The sequence below is a fragment of the Homo sapiens genome, chromosome 18 (genome assembly GCF_000001405.40).
Source record: "Homo sapiens chromosome 18, GRCh38.p14 Primary Assembly".
Taxonomy (NCBI): Eukaryota; Metazoa; Chordata; class Mammalia; order Primates; family Hominidae; genus Homo; species Homo sapiens.
This window is the reverse complement of record NC_000018.10, coordinates 70288537-70310617: the sequence shown is the minus strand read 5'-3', so window position 1 is coordinate 70310617 and position 22081 is coordinate 70288537. Positions and strand designations below refer to the sequence as shown.

Below are 22081 nucleotides of genomic sequence, written 5' to 3'. Positions count from 1 at the left end.
TGAGGTGGTTGGCCGGGCTTGGTGGCTCACGCCTATAATCCTAGCACTTTGGGAGGCCGAGGTGTGCAGACTGCTTGAGCCCAGGAGTTCAAGACCAGCCTGGGCAACACAGGAAGATCCTGTCTCTGCAAAAAAAAAAAAAAAAAAAACCCCACAAAAAATTAGAAAATTAGCCAGGCATGGTGACGAATACCTATAGTCCCAGCTACTAAAGAGGCTGAGGTGGGAGGATCACCCAAGCCTGGAAAGGAAGGTCAAGGCTGCAGCGACCTGTGACTGCACCACTGCACTCCAGCCTGGGCAACAGAGTGAGACCCTGTCTCAAAAAAAAAAAAAACCATTTATGAAAACTATATTTTAAAAAAAGGAATGAGGAGGCCAATAAATCTCCTTCCCCAAAAGTAACTATGAAGCTGGACTAAACTGTCAATAGCAACCATTTCAGTACTTTGAATTCATCACATTTGGTGACAACTGGAAATGGTAAGTGTGTACGTCAATTTAAAATACTATAAATATATTTTTTTCATTTCTTCTTCAAAGGGCATGAGACTGTTTAAGTTAATAACTGTTAACAGTAGTGTTGAGGTTATAACATACAACATATAGTAATTTATGTAAATAATAGCACAGGCTGGGCGTGGTGGCTCACGCCTGTAAACCCAGCATTCTGGGAGGCTGAGGCAGGAGGATCACTTGAGGTCAGGAGTTCGAGACCAGCCTGGCCAACATGGTGAAATCCTGTCTCTACTAAAAACACAAAACAATTAGCTGCGTGAGGTGGCACATGCCTGTAATCCCAGCTAATCGGGAGGCCAAGGTAGGAGAATCACTTGAACCTGGGAGGTGGAAGTTGCAGTGAGCTGAGATCATGCCACTGCACTCCAGCCTAGGCAACAGAGCAAGACTCTTGTCTCAAAAATAAAAATAAAAATAAAGGCATAAAGTTAGGGGAGGAAAAGGAGACATGAAGCCAAGTGTCTGTATTTTATCAGTATTAAGGTAGCATTATTTTGAAGCAGATTGTGGTAAGTAAAGATACATGGAGTGATTTGTGGAGCAATCACAAATAAAATTACTTAGACAATATTATTTAAAAAATAAAACGTCAAGAGAGGAATTAAATTGGCACACCAAAAAATATGCACTTAACACAAAAGAATGCAGTAACAGAGGAACAAATAAACAAAAATAAATTTTAAAAAGAATAGCAAAATGACAAACATAAATCCAATGGAATCAATAATCACATTAAGTGTGAATGGACTAATAAACCCTTACTCCAGGAGTCAGCAAACTTTAGTTCACAGGCAAAATTCAGCATATCATCCTTTTTGTGTATTTCATAAGCTAAAAAGTTTTTTTATTATTTAATGATAAAAAAACAAAAAAGTGACAAATGGAAATTATATGAAATTCAAATTTCAATGTTCATAAATAAAAGTTTGGAATAAAGCCACTCCTACTTTGTTACATATCTTTTATGGCTGCTTTCTCACTGCAACAAAGTTGCATTGTTAAGAGGCCATAAAGCATGCAAAGCCTAACACATTTACAATCTGACCCTTACAGAAAAAGTTTGCTGATGTCACTCTACTCAAAAAGTAGAAATTGTCAGACTAAATCTTTTTTAAAAAAGAAACAACTATGTGCTGGCTACAACAGACTCCCCTAGCACAGAAAGACACAAACCACTTAAAAAGGACAGGAAAAAATTTCCATGTAAATAATAATCATGAGAGCTAGAATAGCAATATTAATATCAGACAAAATAGACTTTTAGTATTACCAGGGGCAAAAAGGGGCATTTCAAAATGATAAAAGGGTCAATACATAACGAAGACACAGCAATTGTAAACACATATGCACTTAACAAAACCCCAAAATACATAAAGCAAAGCCTGAGAGAACTGAAAGGAGACACAGACAATTCAACAATAATACCTGAAGATTTCAAAAAGCCAATTTCATAAATGATGGAACAAATAAAGATGAAATAGCAAGGTATATAATACTTCAACACTATCAACTAACTTGACCTAATTAATATTTTTTCAAGGCTTCATTTTTCCGGATAGACCACAACAAGCCTCAATAGCCAGGTGTGGTGACTCACACCTGTAATCCCAGAATTTTGGGAGGAAAAGGCAGGAGGATCACATGAGCCCAGGAATTCAAAACCAGCCTGGACAGCATAGTGAGACCTAGTTGTTGCAAAAAATTAAAAAAAAAATTAGCCAGGTATGGTGGCGCATGCCTGTAGCCCCAGCTACATGGGAAGCTGGGGCAGGAGGATCACTTGAGCCCAGGAGTGCTGAGGCTGCATCTTGTCCATGATTACGCCACTGCACTCCAGTCTGGGTGACAGAGCAAGACTGTCTCCAAAAGCCTCAATAAATTTAAAAAGACTGATACTATAATTATACCAAGTATGTTCTCTGACCACAATGGAAGTAAATTAATGATATATCTACAACAGAAATAAATCTGGAAAAACACCGAATATTTCTAAATGAAACAAAACACTTCTAAATAACCAATGGGCCAAAGACTAAAAAATCACAAGGAAAAGTTAGTAAATATTTTGAACAGAATAAAAACAAAACATACACAAATTTATGGGATGTGGCTAAAGTAGTGCTTAGGAAAAAATGTACAGCTTTAAATGCCTATATCTCAAATCAATAACCTAAGCTTTCACCCTTAAGAAATTAGAAAATAACTAAACCCAATGAAAGTAGAATAAAATAGTAAATGTTAGAGTAGAAATTAATAAAATAGAAAACAGAAAAACAAGAGGGAAAAAACAAATAAAACCAAAAGTGAGTCATTTGAAAAGATAAAAAACAGACAAAGCTTTAGGCTAGACTGACAAAGAAATTAAGAGAGAAGACATAAATTAGCAAAATCAGAAATGAAAGAAAGGCTATCACTATCAAGCCTATGGAAATTTAAAGGACTATATGGGAATACTATAAATCACCTTTTACCAACAAATTAGAAAACTTAAGAGAAAATGGACAAAATCCTAGAAAGACACAAATTACCAAATCTGACTCAAAAGGAAACAGAGAATCTAAATAGACCTATAACGAGTAAGGAATGAATTGATAATTAAAAACCTTCCTATAAAGAAAGGTCAGGCTCGGGTGGCTTCACTGGTAAATTCCACTAAAGATTTAAACAATTAATACAAATCTTCACAAACTCTTTCAGCTAACAGAGAAGAAAGGAACACTTCACAAGCCATTCTGTGAGGCCAGTATTACCCTGATAACAAAGGCAAAGACATCACAAGAAAACTACAAATCAATATCCATCATGAACACTGATAGAAAAATTCTTTATTATTTTTAGAGACAGGGTCTCATTCTGTTGCCCAGGCTGGAGTGCAGTGATGCAATCATGGCTCGCTGCAACCTCCATCTTCAGGCTCAAGTGATCCTCCCATCATGGCCTCCCAAATAGCTGGGACTACAGGCACGCACCAGCACACCCGGCTAATTTTTTTATTTTTTGTAAAGCTGGGGTCTCCCTATGTTGCCCAAGCTTGTCTAGAACTCCTGGGCTCAAAGAGTCCTCCTGCCTAGACCTCCCAAAGTGTTGGGATTACAGGCGTAAGCCACCATGCTTGGCCAAAACTTCTTAACAAAACATCAGCAAACTGAATTCAGCAACATATAAAAAGCATTATATACCTTGACCAAATGAGATTTATCCAGGTTGGTTTAACATCAATAACCAATTGATGCACTACAGCATACTAATAAAGATGGAAAAAAACACACATGATCATCTTAATAGTTGCAGAAAGGCATTGACAACACCTATTGATAAAAACTTTTTATAAGCTAAGAACAGAAGGAAACTTGCTCAAACTAATTAAGGGCAACTATGAAAAACCTACAGCTAACATCATACTTAATGCTGAAGGGCTGAATGCTTTGCCACTAAGACTGGGGGCAAGACAAGGACATTTGCGCTCACCCCCTCTACTCAACACTGTACTGAAGGTTTGAGCCAGTGGAACAAGAAAAAAAATGCATACAAATTGGAAAGGAAGAAATAAAACCATCTTTATTCATAATTGACACAATCTTAGTTTTTGGCTTTCTTTCTTTTTTTTTTTTTTTTTTTTTTGAGATGGAGTCTCTGTCACCAGGCTGGAGTGCAATGGCACGATCTCAGCTCACTGCAATCTCCGCCTCCCAGGTTCAAGAGATTCTCCTGCCTCAGCTCCCAGTAGCCTCCCCAGTAGCCTCCCCAGTAGCGTGCGCCACCACACCCAGCTAATTTTTTGTATTCTTAGTAGAGACAGGGTTTCACCATGTTGGCCAGGATGGTCTTGATCTCCTGACCTCGTGATCCACCCACTTCGGCTGCTTTTTTGTGACAGGATGTCACTCTGTCACCAGGCTGGGGTGCAGTGGCATGATCACAGCTCACTGCAGCCTCGACCTCCTGAGCTCAACCAATCTTCTTGCCTCAGCCTTCCAAGGAGCTTGGACTACAGATGCATGCCACCACACTTAGCTAACTTTTAATAGAGACAGGGTCTCCCTATGTTTCCCAGGCTGGTCTTAAACTCCTAGGCTCAAGCGATCCTCCAGCCTTGGCCTCCCAAAGTGCTGAGATTATAGGCATAAGCCCCCACGCCTGGCCAGCTGACAAAATCTTATACGTAGAAAAACCCAAGGAACTCACACAACACACACACACACCCCCACACACCCACCCTACAAGCCTACAAACCTAGCAACAATAAAACGACTAGCACACCAAAAGTGAATTAAGAAAACAATTCTGTTCACAAAATATAAAATGACTGAGGAATAAATTTAACACATGTAGTACAAGATTCATACAGTCAAAACTACAAAACACTGCTAAGAGAATATAGAGATTCTAAATAATTAGAGATTCCATGTTTTTGAACTGGAAGATTCAATATTATTAATATGGCAATTCTTCCAAAATTGATCTATAGATTCAAACAATCCCTATCAAAAGCTTAGTAAGCTCTTTTTTATATTAATTGATACAATATTCCTAAAATTTATATTGAAATGCAATTTTGAAAAAGAACAAAGTTACACTATCCAATTTCGAAAGTGCTTATAAAACTATAGGAATCAAGACAGTGTGCTGCTGACACAGAGACTGGCATACACATCACAGAATAAAGGAGTCTGGAAATAAATCCTTACATTTATAGTCGACTGATTTTCAAGAAACGTCCCAAGACGAGTCAATGAGGAAAGTCTTCTTGACAAATGGTGCTGGGACAAATGAATAACTAAAAACAAAAATGTAAACCCTTACTTCACACCATAGGTAAGAATTAAGTCAAAATGGGTCATATACCTAAATGTATGAACTAAAACTATAAAACTTTTTTTTTTTTCTTTTTGAGACGGCGTCTTGCTCTGTTGCTCAGGTTGGAGTGCAGTGGCGCGATCTCGGCTCACTGCAACCTCCCACCTCCCGGCTTCAAACAATTCTCCTGCGTCGGCCTCCCCAATAGCTGGGATTACAGGTGCATGCCACCATGCCCGGCAAATTTTTGTATTTTCTTAGTAGAGACTGGGTTTCACCATGTTGGCCAGACTGGTCTCGAACTCCTGACCTTCAGATCCGCCCACCTCGGCATCCCAAAGTGCTGGGATTACAGGCGTGAGCCACCGCGCTCGGCCATGAAACTATAAAACTTCTTTAAAAAAACTTTGTGACTCTAGTTTGGACAAAGAGTTCCTGGACACAATACCAAAAGCACAATATATAAGAGAAAAACTCTGCTAAGTTAAACATCATTAAAATTTAATAACTAAAATTTAAAAGTGTTTGTGTTTCAAAACAAACCATTAAAAGAAAGATAAGCCACAGGCTAGAAGAAAATATCTGTGTATCATATCTTCTAAGCCACAGGCTAGAATATCTGTGTATCGTAACTGACAAGAGATGATACCAAGATATAAATAAAACCTAATTTTTTAAATGAGCAAAAGATGTGAACAAACCTTTGACCAAAGACAACACACAAATGGCTAATAAGCACACGAAAAGGTGCTTAATAGTATTAGTCATTCAAAATGTAAATTAAAGCCACAAAAAGATACCACTGCACAACCACTATCATGACAATATCATGACAAAGGGAGGGATGCAGAGAAACCAGAAACCTTATACACTGCTGGTGGGAATGTAAGATGGGTTGGCTTTTAAGCAAAGTTTTTTTTTTCCCCGATTGCAGGAAAGCGATGATTGAAGTGTGTGGCTAAATATAGAGAACAAAAAAATTTATCACACGGCAGGTAAACTTCAGACCCCTAGAAATCATTCTGTATCAGTTCATCCAGATCATCCTGTGTCTTTTCTTTTTCTTTACTGTTGCATTGACCTTGTATCTTGACTTTTTATTCTTTTTCTAGTACCTGAGGATCAGAAGTTTCTCCATTTTATTTTAGTCAAATTTATCAGTTTACCTTTACTATCTGCCCCTTCTATTGTCTTAAAAAAATTCATCTGACATTGAGATCATATATCCTCCTGTATTTGCTGTAAAGAAGTTTTGGTTTTCATATTTAAGTCCTTGATTAAATCTAGTACGATTTATGTGTGAGGTAGGTAAAGATTTACATTTTTCCACACATACAACCAATTCACTCAACACATTTATGGAAAAATATTAACCCTCACAAGAATCAGAGATATACAAATTAAACTATTAACACTATGATTTTCCAAAAGTCAAATCAGCAAAGATTTTTCTAAATGGTTGTATTGATTGCCTGAAAGTGTCTTTTTTAAAAAATTTATTATTATTAGTTTTTTGAGAGTCTCAGTCTGTCACCCAGGCTGGAGTGCAGTAGTGCAATCTCAGCTCACAGCAACCTCTGCTTCCCGGGTTCAAGCGATTCTCCTGCCTCAGCCTCCTGTAGCTGGAAATACAAGTACATGCCACCACTCCCAGCTAATTTTTGTATTTTTAATAGACATGGGTTTCACCACGTTAGCCAGGCTGGTGTCAAACTCCTGACCTCAGATGATCCACCTGACTCAGCCTCCCAAAGTGCTGGGATTACAGGTGTGAGCCACCGCACCCAGCTGAAGGATCTTAATACAGCCATAAAAATTAATTTGGCAATATGCAACTGAAAAGTAACGATACTCCTTGACCCAATAATGCTGTTTTTATAAATATTAAAGAAAAAAACATAAAAATATTCCCTGGATCATTATTTATGACAAAAAGTAAATTTAAATTAAAAAAATTGGAAACATCCTAATTTCCAACAGTATGAGTAAAGAAAATCCTGGCACATTTACACAATGGAACTTTAGAGAACCAGTGAAATTGATATTTATACAGAGTTATAAATAACATGAGGGGAAAATTCATATTGTTCGTTTGTTAAGTGCAAAAACACAGGAAACAAAATTATATGTATGTGGTTCAATTACATAGAAAGAATAGGGAGGAAAACTGGACCACAAAGTACAGCAGAACTGTTAACTGGATGGCAGAACTTTTGTAAACATTATTTTCAAAACATCCTATAATGAACATGCAGTGTTTTTATAAGAATAAAACCTGTGAGCTTGTTTGTTCTTACTTTTTTTTAAAGGAAATGGTTGAGTAAATCCATTAAAAATGCAGGGCCTTTTCTTGGCTTTCAGTTATACCATGACTGCCAAACAAAAAATAAATCAAAAGATGAGACTATTGGGTTTTTTTGTAGCTTTTTGTTTTTACTATTATTCTTTGGCTTTGGTAGAACCTAGACAGCCTCCTCCTCTTTACCTGCTCAAAATAACTTTTTGCAAATCTGACTTAAATTTTTTTTTTATACTGGTGTATATATATATACAGTTAGGAACCGGCTTTGAATATTCAAAGTCTAAATGACAAGAGTGATAAGCCTACCAGCTTTTCAAGACCCTCTTCCCTTCCTACTCAGCTTATATTCCACAATTCATCACTGTAATCATTTCCTTGTGTATACTTCTATTCCCTTCCACTACTCTCCTGAAAAACTCTCTTGGTAAAACCATATTAGTAAATTCAACTCCGCTTATGTCATGCCTGCACCCATAGAGCTAAATAAGGCTGGAGAAAAAGAGAACTGGTCTGATGGGTCTCACTTTGTAGTCAAGGCCATGACCCGCAGGTGGGTCCTTAATGCTGTCTGGAAATCAAACTACTTTTCCCTGGTCCATTCTTCTCCTTCCCGGCCTACCATTTCACACCTTCCCTCTCTTTTCTCCACCCCTGGAACACTCTCATTACCCCTGGAACACTCCCTCATTTAATATCGCAGCAGATGGCCCAACTTCCTATTTCACCAAGAAAAGGAACGACATCAGAAGACCTTGGACTCGGCTCCCATCTACCCACTCAGCACCATGTTTCCATCTACTCCATTCTGCTACCTTGCTCAAGGGCCCCCACCGTCAGCTGGCACACTTAATCTCCCAACAATTTCCCCACTCCACTGGCTCATTCCTGAAAATGTTATTTCTCATATATAAACAAACTTGTGGGGACCCCACCTTCCTCACCAGCTGCAGCCCCATCTCTCTGATTCCCTTTGCAGCAAAATGCCTTAGGAGAACTGAGTCTACTGATGCCCACGATTCCTCTCCAATCTTCTCTGACACCCACACCAAAGCCTTCTCTACCAATCATCGCACAGAGCAGCCTTTGCCTAGCGTGAATTCACAGTCCTAATCTTAGAGGCACTGTGTGTGACCACTGACCACTCCTTTTCCTTTCATATCATTTTACCTCTTTGCTCAGCACACCACACTCTCACGGTCCCTCAGTCTGACTCCTTTGCTAGTCTCCCTCTGGAGTCTTAACAGGAGTGCCCCAGCACTCAAGACTTTGGTCCCCTCTTCTCCACCTGTGATTTCACTCATGCTCATGACACTGCATAGCATCGATGTGCCCTACACTCCCAAATTCTCTCTCTTCATTTACAGACCAGTTATATTCAGCTCCCTTCAGGACACTGCCACTTTGATGTCTTGCAGATATCTGAAACTTCACAAGTTCAAAACTAAACTCGGGTTGTTCCCCACCCCACCCCCACCCCAGCCCCACTTGCAGGTTTAAATCTTCTCTATACTTCCATTTCCGGCTACTCTACATTCTTCCAATGATCAGATCAGAACATTCAGAATCACCCTTGGCTCCTTTCTTTCTCTCATTCCTCATCCAGTATGTCATGAAATCCCAATTTCAGCTACCTCCAAAACATATGCAGAATCCAACTACTTTTTGCCACTATACTAGTCCAAGCTACCATCCTCTTTCTCCTGCATTATGGCAATACCTCCTAATAAGTTTCCTTGCTTTCTTTCCCCTGCCCCATTCTATTCTCAACATGTCTCAGCAAACTGGGACAGATGCTGACACTGTGGCTACTACTGTAATAAGGTCCTTTATCTCTAACCCAAGAGTCTTATGTCTTCTGCCAGCATCCAACTGGTAGCTGGCTAACTGGTGAGCCTGCCTTTGAGCTTGTGTTGAAGGCAAAAATCTCAGACATTTCACACTTCTCGGCAACTGCATTCAAACATAATAAATATTTACAACTACATAAAAACAGAATTACATTTGCATAATAAATGGAATACAGTTGCTTTGACTTCTTTCAGGGCCCTTAGCTCTTACCACAATAACCTCTAATTGAAATGCAACAGGAACACTGCATGGCTACAAAGGTAGATTTAAAAAAGTTAAATATAGCCAAATTGAGAAAAATGAACTTAAAGTTGACAAATAATTTTAACTTAAATTAAGAATAAATTTATATTTACAACAAAAGTTCTAATAAATTTTCAAGTGATTCACTCCTACTTTATAGGCTATTGACACAAAAGTATGGGGTAGCACTAGCTTAAATTTGCAGGGGGATACTAAGTGAATCTCCATATAAAATACATGATAATCTCTAAATCATGTCCAGTTCTAAAAGCTTCTGACTCAATGAAAATAAAAATATGTACGGACTTAGATATCTAACCAGCAATGAACAACTTTCCCATGAGCATTTCTAAGCATCCTTCACTGTAATTGTATTCAATGCATTCTTATTCAATTATTAAACTGAATATGAAACAAATATTCATAACGTCAATCATGTAAAAATGCTTTTTGTGTTGGCTTATAAGAATTGATTAATGAGGCTGGGCGCGGTGGCTCACACCTGTAATCCCAGCACTTTGGGAGGCTGAGGCTGGCAGATCACTTGAGGTCAGGTGTTCGAGACTAGCCTGGCCCACGTGGTGAAACTTTGTCTCTACTAAAAAAATACAAAAACTAACCAGGTGTGGTGGTGGGTGCCTGTAATCCCAGCTACTTGGGAGTCTGAGGCAGGAGAATCACCTGAACCCAGGAGACAGAGGTTGCAGTGAGTCAAGATCATGCCACTGCACTCCAGCTTGGGCGAGAGAGAGACTAAGTCTTAAGGAAAAAAAAAAATAAAGAATTGATTAAATGACTGCACACCTCTCCTTAATTTTTTAGTTCAGATTTTAACAAGTTGCATTTAAGAAGTAGTAAATATATATGCCAATTCATCACTGTCTTTATACGTATACGGTCATCCCTCGGTATTCATGGGGGATTGGCTCCAGGAATAACAGAAGCTATGAATGCTCAAGTCCCTTATATAAAACGTCATAGTATTTGCATATAACCTATGTACATCCTCCCCATACTTTAAATCATCTCTAGATTATTTATAACACCTAACACAAGTGTTATATAAATGGTTATATTATTTTTTGTTGTCTTATTTGCACTTAACCAATTCAAAGAAATGTGATATAAGACATATTTCATCTTTGTCTCTAGTTCCTGGCACAGTTCCTATATCTTTGGGATTTCCTGAGATAGAAATATTTTTTATTGTTCAAAACAAGCCCCTTTCAATCACAACTGTTAATGCTAACGCTGTGATTAAAAGCGGCCCTCCTAGATGGCCTCTGGATGGGGCTGGTCACCCAGAGACCCAGTGCCTAGAGTGTGGAACTTTCAGCACCGACCCCCCGTCCCTATCCTGAAGAGAAATGAAGAGAAAAGGAAAGGATTAGAGATTGAGTTCTACAGAAACTCTAACTACAAGATTCGGGGACCTTGCACACACAAGGGTGAGCTGGGCAGGAGGCCACCCTAGGAGGGCACAGAAACTCCACGTCCCCCCGTGCTTGCTCCGTGCACCTCTTCTACTGGGCTGTTGCTGAGTTGTGCCCTTAATAATAATGTTTTCCTGAGTTTTATCCAGCAAATTATCTAATCTGAGGAGGTAGTGGGAACCCCTGATTTGTAGCCAGTCGGTCAGAAGTATGAGAGGCCTGGGACTTGTGACTGGCATCTGAGGACGGGGCAGTCTCATGGGACTCAGCCCGTTGCCTGTGGGGACTGTACTTACTCTGGGTAGGGTCTGAATTAACTGAAATGTTGGACTCAGTTTTCTTTTTTTGTTTTTAAGACGGAGGGTCGCTCTTGTTGCCCAGGCTGGAGTGCAATGGCATGATCTTGGCTCGCTGTAAGCTCCACCTCCCGGGTTCAAGCGATTCTCCTTCCAGCCTCCCAAGTAGCTGGGATTACAGCATGTGCCACCGTGCCTGGCTAATTTTTGTATTTTTAGTAGACACGGGGTTTTGCCACGTTGGTCAGGCTGGTCTCGAACTCCTGACCTCAAGTGATCCGCCCACCTCGGCCTCCCAAAGTGTTGGGATTACAGGTGTGAGCCACCGCACCCAGCCTGGACACTCAGTTTTCACACTGAAGAAGTGGTTGTTGGTGTTGGAAACACATCACAAGAAATAAATCAGCCTTTTATCTTTACCACTGTGTGTATCAGGCCTGAGACTCCTATGAAATAACTATGACACTTTTCAACAAATTAATATAGGTATCTTAACTCTAAATCAGTGGAGACCTGGGCAACATTGATAATGGAAATCATTTGCACACTGAAAAGACAGCACCCCAACTTACTACTAGTAAGATCCTTAATGATGTCCACATCTGCAACCTTATTGGCTAAGGTATAATTACAGTTGGTGGCTTAGAAACAGCTATTGTAATACTTTCTGATATATATATAATACATCCTGACCTCCAGAATGATAAATGTAAAATACTATCTTATATATAGTTCTTTTAATACCATTCACCTATATATGATTATAGCTGACAATGACAAATTAAAAAACAATTATTTAACATTTTAATGTAAACAAAATTATTTTAACTAAAAATATAGCAAATTCCCTAAAAATCTCACCACATTAATTGTCTATGAAAAAGAATGACCTCATGAATTATAAACTACCAAGTAGGTAAGATTCTTTCAGAATTTGACAAATTATGAACAAAGATGTTTTGTTTTTATTCTGTACTGTAGCAAAGTGTTTTAATAGTTTCTTCATTGCTTTAAGATTAAAAGTAATTTGTTTATATATTAAAATATCTTAAATGTAATGAACTACTAAAGCAAAAATATCTAACTTGTGAAAGGCAACATGCATGTAAAACTAACTGAAAAATAACACAACTGTTATGACTGCTCTCAGAGCCTTCAGATCAACACAAAAGCTCTAATTTAAAGAGCAATTTGCCCATTATTCAAATGCTTTCACATAGAACATACAAGATTTTGTCATTCAATTTGCAGTAGAGAATTTGAGTTTTCAGTTAAAATAATCTTTTCCCCATTTCTAAAGTACATCCAAATGAAGAATGGAGTTTTAAATAGCAGATTTGGGGAACAAAAAGTAATCCACATGAAATTTGTTATTAAATGTACATTAAGAGCCAACATAAACTTCATTCATTGATCATTAGCGCTGAAGGGAATCTTGGAAAGCAATAATTATTCAATTTAATAATATATCCCTATTAAGCAAACAATATAAAAATCTTACAAAATGAAAAGATTACTTGTATTATAAAACAATAATCTGATTGCCAAAAGTAACCATTTATTGTGGGTTCCCAAAGATGCGATCTCTTGATGCTTTTAAAATAGTCCAAATTAAAATAATTATGTTACCACCCACTACAGATCAGCAGGCATTTCATCGACTAAGTTAATTGAACTCAGTGACACAGATGTGGCTTCATGAGAGCACTAACTGAAAACACTACTTTTATTTAAAGAAAAAAATAGATCTGGTTTTCCCAAAAACGAAGGGTTTAATATTCACTGATGCTAGCAAAACAAACAAAAACTGTTGAAAAGAAGGGAAAAAAAAACCCTCCTGATTAAACATACACTTCTTTATCTCCATCATTCCCCAAAAACACAGGAACGAAGAAAATCACAAAGCGAATTACGGCAGATGACAACAGTGTTAAGTGGCTAAAACAAACTGGAGTAAACCAAAATCTAAGACTGCTGGAAAGGAAGACGACGAAAAACCAGCCTGAGAAAAGGTTTCACAAATCTGAACTGAGAGGCGGATGCTATTTGTTTAAAAAAGAGGGGGTGAGGAGAACAGTTAGAAAACAAAACTCCCACAGCCAAAAAGTAAACATTCAATAAAAGAAAAATTGAGGGAACTCCCCTCCAAAGAACAACAACAACAACAACAACAACAGACAAGAAAAATGGAGAAAAAAGCTAAGAAAATAAGTAGACGGATTTAGGAGTTCCTATGTCCAATGAAGAAGAGCTTAAGACAGAAAAAAAAAAAAGAAAGAAAATGAGAAAATGAAAGGGAAGAAATTATAAAAGTCATTTTAATAGTTTTTCTAGAACTGAAAAACATAAGTTTATAGACTGAAAAGCTCTGTGGAATGCTCAGCACATCCAAAGTAGAAAAGAACAATCACCAGACCCACCATGGTAAAATGTTAGTATTTAGGCAATAACACAAAAGTCCCCCAAAAGCTTCCAGGGGGAAAAGAAATGGCTTACAACTGCCTGGGAAACTGGCGGCATGTGACTTAACAGTAACACTGAAAACCGGACGACAACGGAGCAATGCCTGCAATATTCCAAGAGGAAACACACTTACAACTATGACCCCCACTGACAGTTCAATGACTCTCCTTGTGCCCTTGCATGCGTCTGGAATTCTTGCAGGGACTAGGCCTGGTTCTGGCCTATGGTGACCAGCGTGCGACCTGCAGATACACCCACATCCGCCATGGGGACAACAGACAGGAACTGTAGGTGAAAGCAGATTGGACCCAAAGGAAGAGGCCAAGGGAGGCGGCGTCCACAGCAGACTTTGTGAAAGCAAGACACAGACCTCTATTCATGCACTGAGATTTCAGAGTTAATTTGTCACTGCCAAATAACTTATTTGATCTGAACTAAAATATTAACCTGAAATTTTATACACAGCCAGGCATACACCAAATACTTAGAACATAGACATTTTCTGACACACAAGGCTCAAAAAAAAAGTCATCTTCCCCATCACCTTTCACAGGAAGTCACTATGAGGATGAGCTTCATCATATCAAGGCGGTAAACTAAGGAACTGAAAACAAGGAACCCCACTTGGGAAGGAGAAAAGAATTTCTAAGTTGACGGTAGAGGCTCCTGTGATTCGTCCTGTTTTAGATACTGTTCCTGCCTTCTGTATCTTTCTCCAATCAAACACACGTCACCCTGCAAGAGCCAGCTCAACTGTAACATCCTCCAGGAAGACACGAATCCAAACTCCCCAGTTCCCAGGATTAAATTAAAACCTTAAGCATCAACAGCAAGAAGGGCTGCATACACCAGAGTCCACTCTGAAATCGACTACTAATGTGGTGTGTGACTCTGGGCAGATGACACCCTGCTTAGACCCAATTTCCTCATCTGTGCAAGGACGAAGATAATCTATAATCAGAGCAGTTCCTTCTAGCTCTAAAATGCAGTAATTCTGCTGCAAATATATAAAATCACTAAAATCCTACTGAAATTCTCTGCACTGGTATTTGCTTACATTTTCTGCCAGTCTGTGATATTTGGCAATAATGTTATTTCCTAAATATGTCACTTTTCTTTTTTAACTTTAAAAGCAATGTCAACAAACAAAAATGACTATTGTCTGAGGGATGGTAATACATTACTGAAAACCAAAATTAAGCTTTAAAAACAAACACCATTATTATACACATCACAACAAACTTTAAACAAGTAACATACAGATACAGTAAAAATCTACCAGTAAGAATTCATCTGACTTTCAAAGCATGCTAACCCAGCTGCTTCAACCATCTAGCATATTATTGATATGGTCAGAACAATGTGTACCACAAAAATCACTGTAAGTGCCACCATAAACAGCACCAAATAATCAGCTACCCAGAGCGCTGGGTAAAAATACCTTGTCTAAAGATTAACACTGAACTATTGAAATTGTTTTTGATGGAAATCTTATCTAATAGGAGCCATACATTCCTGTCTTCAAAAAGGTATTTTAAGCACAAGTGTGTATATTAAGTATAATCTCAGACTGTCACAAACTGCTGTATATAAATGGATGCCTCTCCAGATGACCAAATTTATCTGCTGGAAAATTTCAGGATGGCATAATGACACCATTAGGACTTACTGATGTTCAGATTACTGCCTGCCTTCCAGGCCTTCAGATATATCCTGTCTTCTTTCTTTTCTTCTCTATACTCAAGAGTCCGATGCTATGGAAAATAAGATAATCATCACTCCCCAGTCTCCAAGTGTGATGCCCTTTTAACAATTTTAGAAAGTATTTTAGTGTGTTCGCTGTTAGGAGTGATAAAACAGTATCAGAACAAACATAATCAGAGCAGAAGGCTCTGCAGAGAAGGCAAGTGCGGCATCTTTTTTGTTCTCGGTCTCCCACCAATGAACTGCAATGACCCCACAGCCAGGTCAGGCAATTGCTGCTAACACTGTGACCACCTGTAATCCTTACCAGTCTAGCAGCTTGCACTAGCAATCCTTCTGAAGGCGCCCATTCACTTACTGCTTTCATTTCCATTTCTCTTGCTCTTTTGGTCTCAAACACTTTTCCCACATTAGGCTTCCTTAACAAAAACATTCAAGTCTAACACAGGTGTGGCTGATTAATCAGAATACTACTTTTGACTAGTCAGATTATGTTTTAAATTAATAGTAATAATTACTTTAAATAGGAATTATTACCATTATTATATATTATAAAAGAGGGGGTGAGGAGAACAGTTAGAAAACAAAACTCCCACAGCCAAAAAGTAAACATCCAATAAAAGAAAAATTGAGGGAACTCCCCTCCAAAGAACAACAACAAAAAAAACTGACAAGAAAAACGGACTCCTACTCAGTGGCCAGGCCCCCTGGGATGTGTCAGGGACACAGAAAAGAATTAATAGTAATAATTACTTTAAATAGGAATTATTACTATTACTTTAAAACATAATCTAACTAGTCAAAAGCAGTCAGATAAAGGAGTAGAATACTAGTGTTAAAGTATTAGCACTTGTTATATTTCAGGCACTTAATACACTAACATGCATTATCTCATTCCATTTTCTTTCTTTTTTTTTTTTTTTAAACGGAGTCTCGCTCTGTTGCCCAGGCTGGAGTGCAGTGGCACAATCTCGGCTCACCACAACCTCCACCTCCCAGGTTCAAGCAATTCTCCTGTCTCAGCCTCCCGAGTAGCTGGGACTACAGGTGTGTGCCACCATGCCCAGCTAATTTTTGTATTTTTAGTAGAGACGGGGTTTCACTATGTTGGCCAGGCTGGTCTCGAACTCCTGACCTCCTGCTCCACCCGCCTCAGCCCCGCAAAGTGGTGGGATTACAGGCGCGAGCCACCGCGCCCGGCTATCTCATTCCATTATCACACCAGCTCTGAGAGAAACATCATCATTATTATATACGTAAAGGAACAAAACCTTAAGTTTTTTTTTTTGTTTTAATCTACCCTATAAAATTGAAGTGCTGAAATTCAAACCTAGATCTGCATCCCCATGAGAGACTGTCTTCCTTAGTTAGCATGGAGGGCTTCTAAGTCTCTGGCTTTTCTAATTCCAAAGGAGATTTTCCTTCTGGCTTAATTCTACACCAGAAAACTGAGGATACCAGGAGATTTCAGATAACTGAGGTTTCACTTCACTAAGCTATGTAAGCAGGAGAAATGGGTTTTGGGATGGTGACTTTCTATACACTATACATGACTATACTTCCAGAAGTGAAAGAGATCTGGGCGTCTACACTGCCAGTCAGTCTGGTACTTGAGTCACTCAGACACACATCATAGCTCTACAGGCAGTGACAGTTGTCTCTCTGTGGGGCTGTTGGGGCCATGTAATGATAAGGACTTTGGTTTTATTAGTGCTATGATTTACTCAGCCAGGCAAGCAGACCAGCTCAGAAAAGGACAAACGACATGAAATACCAACAACTTTCTAACATGTACACAGCACATCTCTGCCTTTAAGGTGTAGATAACAACATGAAAACCGCAACTACTTTCTGTATACCCACACCCCTCCTACTCAGTGGCCAGGCCCCCTGGGATGTGTCAGGGACACAGAAAAGAAGGACCACAGTAGACACTCTGCCCTCATAGAACTTATTTGGGGGGGGTGGCGGGGGAACAGCAGAAACAAGTAAACAAAGTAATTACAGACAATAATAGAGGTTATGAAGGAACCACACAAGTCAATTACTTGGGATTACTGAAGGAGCCATAAGGTAGTCAAGGAAGTCTTCTCTGAGGTGGTGATGCTCTGAGGTGGTGCCACTGGCATTAAGATCTGAGAATGAACCAACCACAGGAGCCACCGAAGGCACTGTAGGCAAACAGAACTACTGTGTCAAAGGTGGCGGAGCAGGAAGCAGCTTAGATTGTTGAGGAACGGAAAGGCTAGGGCAGAACCCTGGTAAGGCAGAGATGGTTGCTCAAGATGAGAATTAGGGAGAAATGAAAACACATTTCAGAACTAGGCAGAAATGTTATAGTCGATGAGGAAGAGTTTGGATTTTTGGCTGGGCACAGTGGCTCGTGCCTGCAATCCCAACACTTTGGGAGGCAAAGGTGGGAGGATCACTTGAGCCCGTGATTTCAAGACCAACTGGGCAACATAAGGAAACCCCATCTCTACCAAAAATTAAAAAAAATCAGCTGGGCATGGTGGCATGCACTTGTGGTCCCAACAACTGGCGGAGGGGGTGCTGAGGCAAGAAGATCGCTTGAGCCTGGGAGGTCGAGGCTGCAGTGAGTCCTAACCGTGCCACTGCACTCCAGCCTGGGCAACCAGAGCGAGATCCCCATTTCAAAACAAAACAAGAGTTTGGATGTTACCATAAATACATATTCATTATAACTGTGAGATAAATTATTGTCCCCACTTTAGCCCCAGATAAGACTCAGAGGGCATACAGAACGTGTTCAACGTGACAGAGCGGGTAAATGGATGCCCCAACATGTCCAGAGTGTGCAAGGTGAGAACTGAAATCTTACGTGACTTTATCTAAGTATGTCTGTTCTCGAAACATCAAGACCAACGGCCACCTAAAAACAACTGCCCCAACGAAGTAAAATGTAAGGTTTGTATGGGTGGGTAAAGACCTGAAATCAGTTTAAGTAAACTGTGTCCTCAGCCCTAAAGCCATCACGACTTATTAGCTAAACCAACACGCCAAACAGCATAATAAATTACCCATAAAAACATTAATGACAATTTCACTTCAAAACAATATCAAACACATCTTACGTTGTTCCTCTTTTAACAGCTGAACAATTATTTCTATCAATCTAGCCATATAAGAAAGTTTCTCCTTTTTATGACATATACTAGTATTTGGAATTTCTCCCTTGTAAAATGAATAATTTTACAAAAGTACTTCGGCACCACAGATGTAAATATAATTTCCAGAATTGGAAGAGGTCACGAGTGCATATTTTTAAGAGAATAACAATAATTGAGTCCCAATAAGCCCATGATAAATTGAAAATATCTTAAAGTCAAAACTCACAGTGGGTTTATCTGGATGTAAGTCGAAGTGCATACTAAATGTGTATCGTTTTTGCTCCATCAAAAAGTCAAAAAGTCCAAAATTGGGGACCATCTATATGTTTGGACTTTTAAATAAGATCACACCTCTATGAGCAAAATAAAAGATATGATCAATAACCCAAAAGTTTCCTGAAAACTGGCCATAATGGAGAAAACTAGCAAGATTTTTCTCTAAGGAGTGTAGTTACACAAGAAGGCTTAAGAGGACACTTGCAGGCTGGGTGTGGTGGTTCGTGCCTGTAATCCCAGGGCTTTGGGAGGCTGAGGTGAGAGGATCTTGAGGCCTAGAGTTTGAGACCAGCCTCGGCAACACAGCAAGACCCCACCTCTCCAAAAAACAATCAGCCAGGTGTGGTGGCACATGTCTGTGGTCCAAGCTACTCAGGAGGCTGAGGGAGGTGGATCACTTGAGCCCAGGAGTTCAAGGCTGCAGTGAGCCATGATTGCACCACTGCACTCCACCCTGGGTGACAGAGGAAAAACAAAAAAGAAGATACTTGCTTTCTGTTTCCTAAAAAAAGGGGGGCCATTAAAAGAACACCTTTTCCAGTTCTAATGCAAGAATGAAGAAAAACACTGGAAGGCAAAATGACTAGAAACCCAGTCAGTACAGCACCATTTTCCACCCTACGCCCAGTCAATGGCTCTCAAATTCCTTCCCTGCCACTCCCTGCGGGGTGGGGGGCCCACCAAGAGAGGGGGTCATGGGATGACCCGAGGGTGTGCGCTTGGGTGGGAGGCCCTGCTGAAGAGAAAGGGGCAAGACTACCAATTTAGAGGGTAATTTAGAAGATAACGATAAAGGTAAGAGAGAAACAGTGTTTCAAAAGAGATGCTGAATGGAGTTCTAAAAAAGTATAGATTCGGGTGAATACCTGGCTGACCCTTACCCAGGCACAAGCGGAAAGCCCTGGCCAAACTCCAGATAGAAGTTCTTCTAGGAATCCTTATCAAATCCACTGTCCACGAACCAGGTTCCTCCAAGGCACCAAGGCAGGCTTAGGGAGGGTGTTTGAACCAAAGGGTTAAGGCCACATATTTAATTTAGAGCTGAATGGATCCTAGACCTTACCATATCCACGCGTGCACAAAACCCACTAGGAGGAGAAATTAGAAAGCCCACGGAAAAGTATTACAGACTTTTTTTCCGGTTTTTGTGAAACCTGGTGAGCAATGCCATTCGTGTTTTTAAGTAAGGCTGTCCACAGCATTAAATATTACAATTAAGATTCGTTCATTCAAGTAAGCTAAATGGATTTAATGTTGTGGTAGTTGGTTAAAAACAAGTCAAGATAAATTGCTACCTTCAGTGGTTGAGAAGATGTCAGATATTTTATCTTGAAGTAGAACGTTTACTTTTGTTTGATTCCAAATGTATCTTTATCCCAAGGAACACAGTAAATTTAAAATGTCTCTGGGAGACGTTCAGTGTGTAATTCACGTTATTTCTGTCATTACTGTGTTCTCTGTCCTCATGCACAGTGCATGCTGCCTTATCCGGGCAGACGTTGCAGAAACATTTGTTGAAATGAATTCAACATTATTTATTTTGCTACCGGAAGACTGAGTCCCGCCACATATTCCCACCTGGCCCTTCATTCCAAACAGTGGGGATGGGAACCCCAATTTCACATTCCAACTGAACGTTAAGTTGGCACACACACTACTGCACATATCCCAAGTTTTGTGCCAGGATCTGCCCCTGAGAAACGTCCATAATTCTGCTCCGTGAGCCACAAGGGTGTACCTGAAGTTGCCAACTCCCGAAGCAAACTGAAAATTCAGGCCCGTGTCGGTCCCAGGAGCGGTTTAAATTCCACAATCGTCCGGTCCCTACACCCGGGTGAGTGCGCAGCCGGCCGGCGGCACCTTCAGCCGCAGAGCAGCCCCGGCCTGCACCTCCACCAGCGCCGGCGCGACCTCGCGGTGGGGCGGGGGCGTCCCCGAGTCCCAGCGCCGCGCCCCAGGCCCGCCCTCGCGCCTGCGGCCTCGCCGCGCCCCGACCCCGAGCCCGAGCCCGAGCCCGCGGAGGTCCGAGGAGGGACCCGGCCGGGGCGCAGAGCCGCGCAGGCCCCGCGCCGCTGCCCAGGCCTCGCGGAGCCCCGGCCTCTCCCCGGCGAGCTGCGGGCAACAAAGGCGGCGGCCCAGGCCGGCGCGCCGCGGCCGAAGAGGCCGAGGGGTCGAGAAGAGCCGTCCGCGGCCGCGCAGGCCTCGGCCCTTCAGGGGCCGCCGCGCCCCGGCCCCGGCTTCCCGGTTTCCGCGTCCCCGCTCCCGGGACTGGCCCCGGCCCCCGTTCCCCGGCCCTGGCCCCCGCCCGCGCACCCGCCGAGACGGCGCAGGGCCTCGCGCTGACCCAGACCCGTCGCTGCAGCCCCGCGCCCGGCGGCCTCCCTGGCCCGGCCCGCGCCGGATCCGCCCCCTGCACTCCGAGGCGAAAACCAGCCGTGTCCCGGACCGCGGGCGACCCGGAGGCGGACGGCGAAGCCCTGCCCCTGCCTCCCGCCCGAGCTCCCCGGACGCTTACCCGGAGGCGGCCCGGCTCCGCTTCCTCGCCCAGCGCCGGCGCGACTGCCGCGCTCGCCTTCTCCTCTCGGCAACTCCTCCTCCCGCCTCCTTCCTCCTCCTCCTCCAGGAGGGGCGCGCGGCCGCGGCGCCTCGGCCCGAGCGGGGAGCGGGTGCGGAGGAGCCGAGCGGGCCGCCCCCCGTCCACTACTCGGGCCCGCGGCGCAGGCGGGGCGTCGGGGCGCGCGGGGCTGAGGCCGGGGGCCGCGCGGGGCGGGGCGGGGGCCGGGCACTAAGTGGGGGTTCCGAGGGGAGGGGCGCCGGGCCGGGGTCGTGGGGCGGACGGAGCGCGGAGCCCTGATCCCTTCCCCCACCCCCGCGCCCCTCCGCTGGTGCCTGCAGGAGGCCGCTCCTCCGGCCCCCAGAGTCCCTGTCCTGGTTTTTCCTTTGGTGCTTTCCCTCTGGCGGGGGTGGCCCCGGCTAACGCGGAAAGGAAAGTCTCCTCGTTCCCCGGCCCCGCGGATTTGGCGGCTGCGGTCCCTGTCCCCCTGTGGCGGGCGGTCGGACCCCCGCACT

The 22081-nt window shown here is 41.9% G+C and overlaps 1 protein-coding gene across 7 annotated transcripts in view, besides 2 other annotated features; it reads right to left on the bottom strand.

Annotated features, from left to right (window-relative positions):
• The window catches only part of SOCS6 (suppressor of cytokine signaling 6), a 41155-nt gene extending 19582 nt beyond the window's left edge, over positions 1-21573 (bottom strand). The window contains exon 1 of one of the 7 annotated variants that reach the window (XM_017026087.2): positions 21326-21573. The gene's annotated coding sequence lies outside the window, so the exon portion shown is untranslated. The other 6 variants (XM_047437940.1, NM_004232.4, XM_005266783.5 and 3 more) reach the window with 6 other exon arrangements.
• Positions 17479-17655: a silencer, noted in NCBI's record as "fragment chr18:67960199-67960375 (GRCh37/hg19 assembly coordinates)". NCBI's record gives its function as "represses an EF-1alpha promoter that drives an FKBP-Casp9 reporter gene in an ReSE screen in K562 erythroleukemia cells {active_cell/tissue: K562}" and the evidence as "EXISTENCE:reporter gene assay evidence [ECO:0000049][PMID:32094911]".
• Positions 20838-21737: a silencer, noted in NCBI's record as "silent region_9540". NCBI's record gives its function as "represses an Ori minimal core promoter by ATAC-STARR-seq in GM12878 lymphoblastoid cells {active_cell/tissue: GM12878}" and the evidence as "EXISTENCE:reporter gene assay evidence [ECO:0000049][PMID:35858748]".